This window comes from Homo sapiens, chromosome 1, assembly GCF_000001405.40.
Source record: "Homo sapiens chromosome 1, GRCh38.p14 Primary Assembly".
NCBI lineage: Eukaryota > Metazoa > Chordata > Mammalia > Primates > Hominidae > Homo > Homo sapiens.
Genome location: NC_000001.11, coordinates 100,321,595 through 100,327,228, shown reverse-complemented (window position 1 = coordinate 100,327,228; position 5,634 = coordinate 100,321,595). Strand labels below are relative to the sequence as shown.

Here is a 5,634-nt window from a genome sequence, read left to right as displayed (position 1 = left end):
TGAGCTGAGATTGTGCCACTGCACTCCAGGCTGGGCAACAGAGTGAGACTCTATCTCAAAATAAATAAATAAATAAGATATTACACAGATGAATGGAGAGATTACAATTTAAGGCAGCCAGTACTGAGCTTAGCACATTGCAATCAGTTAAGAGGTAGGTGCTATTATCACAACCTTATCATTCAGATTGGACTATAAGTACCTCTAGTGTCAAACAGGGTTTGCCGGCAGTAGCAGAAAACATTTCTGGAAGCAGGATGAATAACGGTGGATCCTCTGAAAGCCTTTCTGAAGATTCTAAAACATAAAGCTATGCTACTGATCTAAACTATTGACCAGCCATGAATTTTTGAGATAGTTAACCTCTCTGTGACTTCTAAAGGACAAGAGAGACAAACAAATAGAAACCCCACCAGACAACCATTTACCACTCCAGGAATTCAGATAAGTTATTAATGAAAGTTTCTGTGAGACTTATTAAACTGTATGAGAGAAAGATGATATATCAGTTTTGATAACAAGCAGGAAAAAGGATGCTTACCCCCCAAAATATTTTTACCTGTCATCCTCCCTTATTATCAATTAGATGATAATAGATAGAAGAAAGAAAGAAGGAAGGGAGGAAGGGTGGAAGGGAGGGAGGGAGGAAAGAAGGAAGGAAGGAGAAGAAGAAGGAAGGAAAGAAGGAAGGAAGGAAGGAAGGAAGGAAGGAAGGAAGGAAAGAAAGAAAGAAGGAAGGAAGGAAAGAGAGAGAGAAAGAAAGAAAGAAAAGAAAAGAAAAGAAAAGAAAGAAAGAAAAGAAGGGAGGAAGGGAGGAAAGGAGGAAGGGAGGAAGGGAGAAAAAGAAAGTCAACATCCCTAACATTTAACCCACTAGAAACCGTTACTGGCCCTGCATACAAAGGCATTTTCCACTCACGGTGAGCCAAACAGATATGAATTCCAGGTAAGCTACTCTTATTTATTTTTTTGAAACAGGGTCTCCCTCTGTTGCCCAGGCTGGAGTGCAGTGGTGCAATCATGGGTCACTGCAGCCTTAATCTCCTGGGCTCAAGCAAGTCTCCCACCTCAGCCTGCTGAGTAGCTAGGACTACAGGCACACACTACCATGCCTGGCTAATTTTTTTTTTTTTTTTTCATGAAGACAGGGTTTTGCTATGTTGCCGAAGCTGGTCTTGAACTCCTGGGTTCAACTAATCCTCCTGCCTCAGCCTCCCAAAGTGCTAGGATTACAGGTGTGAGCCACTACATCAGGCCATAAGTTACTCTTTCTAAAAACGAAACAGCCAAATCTATAGGCACACACACATGTATTTGTCAGAGCAAGTCATTTCAGACACTTACTGGACCAGAACAACACCCACTTTCCACTAACCTGCGATTTGTGGGGCCCATACTTCTTCTTCTTCATAAGGATATCCACCTGGGCTATAAGGACCCCACATATTCTGAGTTACCTTTTCATTCTTCTGGATGGCACAAGCCTGTTGTACTCAGGTGAGAAGGACAGAAGAATTCCACCCTATCACATGGGCAGACATGGTGTTCAGTTTCCCTCTATCAGTTAGATTTATAGGGTTCGGGAACTAGATCAAATTACAGTGGAGGAGTGTTCAGACATTGTAATGCAAGTAAAGGTATGGATGACAGCGGGCTACTGCTTTGCCTTCTGAAAACACCAAATTTGGTGAAAAGTTCGATCCAATCCTATTTTTTTTTTAATCAGAAACTGACTGGGGATTCTTAGAAAAGCAGAAGTGTAAAGTAATGAAAAGTAAAGCCAAAATAATAAAGTATAAAATAATGAAAGCTGAATGCATCAGAGCCTATTAGCTTGCTTCTGCTGTTTGTAGTACTGTGGTTTATTCTGCATCAACATAACAATAGCTGAATTAGATATGACTAACAGTGTTTGTTGATTCTGTTTAATTGGGTCAGATTAATTTGTCAACTGCACAATCATGTGGGAAAACCATTACTCATATAAACTAGATGTTGATGTTTTAAAATGTGAAATTATTTTTTCCCCAAATTTGTGTTGACTTCCATATCGTTATGTCAACCTCTCTTTCCCCTCGGGCTTCCAACAGATGCCTATAACCAAAAGAAGATCACTAAAGCAATTTCTAATGAGCTAAGGAACAGCCGAAGGGAGAGCCTGGCATCTGAGTTAGAGAAGTTAGACAAACAGTGGTGGTAAAGAGTGAGGAGTCAGACTTCCTGGGCTCAACTCCCTGCTCTGGCATTTACCATCAATGAGGTCTTGGGCAAGTTTCTTAATCCCACCACACCTGTTTGTCCATCTCTAAAACAGAGCGAACAATAATACCCACTTTATTCGGTTTTGATGATTAAATTAGGTGATCAATTTAAAGTGTTTACCATAATACCTGGCCTATAGTAAGTGATCAGTTAATGCCAGCTATTAAAAATAATAATAATAGATACCAAGCTAAAGGCAGCTTTCCTGACAGTTGCTTTCTCAGAAACGTTCAGATTAACATATACACCAATATATATGTATACATGCACTAGCCAGAGATTCTCAATCCCAATACTACTGAGATTTTGGACTCTATATGTCCAAAAAAGATAGGTGGAGTTAGTGATGATACTAAAAGCGTATAGTGCCATGTGAGAAATTTCTTCTAGGGCATAGCGTTAGGAAAAACTGTATACTCTCCTTGCATTGTAGGGTGTTTGGCAGCATCCGTGACTTCTAACCACTATGTAGCACTTTCACAGTTGTGAATCCAAAAATGTCTCCAGATATTGCTGAATATCTCCTGGAGCAGCAACATCCCCAGTTTGAGAACGACTGCGGAGACCAATTAATAGCTCCTATTAAGGACACGTCATCTTTGTCATATCACTCTTGCCTAAAGGTCCAGTCAACTATGTTCACTAAATGGTAAATAAATCACACCCCAAAAAAGCTACTTTAAAATTACTTCTTCCTTTGATATTAAGTTAACTCTTGTGAAGAGAATGTTTGTCGTGTTTACCTCTGCATTCTCACTGCCAGGCACACAATGGACAATGAATGAATGAGGAATGATTGAATGACTGAACACACCTTTAAGTTTTTTTTGTTTTGTTTTGTTAAACAACTCTGGGCTGGCACAGGGGCTTAGGCCTGTAATCCCAGCACTTTCGGAGGCCAAGGTAGAAGAATCGCTTGAGCTCAGGAGTTCAAGACCAGCCTAGGCAACATCGGGAGCCCCTGTCTCTATAAAATAAATAAATAAATAAATAAGTCGGGTGTGATGGCATAAGCTGGCTGCTGAGGCGGGAGGATTGCTTAAGCCTAGGAGGTCAAGGTTGCAGTGAGCTTCAGTCATACCACTGCACTCTAGCCTGGACAACAGAGTGAGACCCTATCTCAAAATAAATAAATAAACAACTCTGAGCAGCGTTTCAGTTTCCTCCCTCTTAGACTCCAGGCAATACACAAAGGAGATAAAGACTGCTCACACTCCCATACACTCACATACTGTGAGGAACCATGGCCAACTAGGCCAAGCTGAGTCAAGCTCTCAGGAGCAAGGGAAGGCAGGAGCACCCATTCCACAAAGCTTCAGGGTGTGGAGCCAAAGGCTGACCATGGATTATCTCCAGGATACAGTGCCAAGGACCTAGCTGGAGAAGTAGGTCCAAATAGGTCAGTAAGAAAGAATGCCTGCAGTTAATCCTGATATGAGAGGGGCAGATCCAGGGGAGTCATAGAGCAGGCAAAGAACAGAGGATTAGAATAGAAAGTGGCCCATAAAAAACCCACAGACAGGCATTTGACTGGATTTTAGCATGTTTCAGATCCTCTGTGATGTGTTCATTTACAGGGCCCAAGATGGAATGAGACCCAGAGTCTGTCATTTATTGTTTGAATTAACCCTGCTAACTTCATGTTTATTACTGTTTTAACCAATATACTCTCTCTTCATCCAAGTTCATGATAAACATTCTGAACAAAACTTTTCCTTCGAAACTACTATTATTTCCCCAGTGGCCCATTAAATGAAGATATTTAGTTATGTAGAGAGCAGAGCAACTTAATAATGAAATAATACATGAATCACAAAGTTCAGCAAACAGAATTACCAAGTGAACATCACTTCAAATATTTTCATATGAACCAAAAAATGATGCAATTTTACTAGGTGATTGCATGATATTTCCAAAGCACACAAATGAGGATTCTTAAATCCCTAGTTATTTGCTACTGAGATACAAATTGCTAAACAAATATACAACTCTCTTTAGTCTTGTCATTTACACTCACTGTTTCCTACATACTCAGTGCACAAGTTAACCATTAGCTCAATTTTGATTCAACTACAACTTTCTTTTTGGCTTTGTGCCCTTTATTATGCAAAGATAGGTGGAATTAGTGATGATAATATAAGCTTATAGCGCCATGTGAGAAATTTCTTCTAGGGCATAGTGTTAGGAAAAGCTACATACTCCACTAAGGAAATAGAAGGCTTGGGGAGGGGAGGGTTTGGGAGGTATTGGAAGGGAAGTCAAGGGGAGAATAGCCAGTAACATATCATGTCTCTCTTTTTACTTTCACTAGAAATCCTAGGCCAAACTTGAAACTCAATTCTAGTAGTTCATTTGCATACTACTTTTATGCCTGGTCATGATTTCTACTCTAGTTTTTATTTCTCTGGGCCTGATTTTTAACTCTTTATTTGTAGTTTACCATTTTATGGTCTGTGTTTATTTTAAGTCACCATAAATACATTACAAAATGAGGAATGGTATGAATGAAAATTAAATAAAACTAACTCAATTGCATATTATATAAATAACATTGTAAAACAAGAGGCAGGATCAGCATTAGTGATTAGTCAAACAGCATAATGTAAAAGACATAAGCATTAGAAAGCTCATAATTAGAGTCTTTTTTTTTTTTTTTTTTAGTTTTGAGGGCTTTCTGATTTTTAGGATTCCTGATAAAAACACAGAATCCCTTTTCAGGAGGCTAAGGTGGGAGGATCACTTGAGGGGCCAGGAGCTCAAGGCCAGGAGTTGTAGCCTGGGCAACATAGCTAGATTCCTGTCTCTTTTTTTATTTTTTATTTTTTATTTTATTTTATTTTTTGAGATGGAGTCTCGCTCTGTCACCCAGGCTGGAGTGCAGTGGCATGATCTCCACTTACTGTAAGCTCTGCCTCCTGGGTTCATGCCATTCTCCTGCCCCAGCCTCCCGAGTAGCCGGGACACAGGTGCCTGCCACCACACCTGGCTAATTTTTTTGTATTTTTAGTAGAGACGGGGTTTCACCGTGTTATCCAGGATGGTCTCGATCTCCTGACCTCGTGATCCGCCCGCCTCGGCCTCCCAGAGTGCTGGGATTACAGGAGTGAGCCACCGCGCCCGGCCAACTCCTGCCTCTTAAACATATACTCACACTCTCTCACAGAGACACACACACACACACACACACATACACAGAATCCCTTTGGAGGGTTAATAATTTAAGGCTTTATCACTTTGCAGCTAGCCGAGGACTAGCTTACATGTGTAGGATTATGCACATGAGAGGATGCTGGTAAGAAAATATACAGATAGGGCATGAAGGAGTGTCAAAGATCAACCACACTTTACAATTTTAAAACGGGGCTGCTGCAG

At 40.5% G+C, this 5,634-nt stretch overlaps 1 annotated feature.

Annotated features, from left to right (window-relative positions):
* Positions 1,341-1,923: an enhancer, noted in NCBI's record as "OCT4 hESC enhancer chr1:100790862-100791444 (GRCh37/hg19 assembly coordinates)". NCBI's record gives its function as "activates a minimal SCP1, AML or CMV promoter by ChIP-STARR-seq in naive H9 embryonic stem cells {active_cell/tissue: H9 hESC(naive)}" and the evidence as "EXISTENCE:reporter gene assay evidence [ECO:0000049][PMID:30033119]".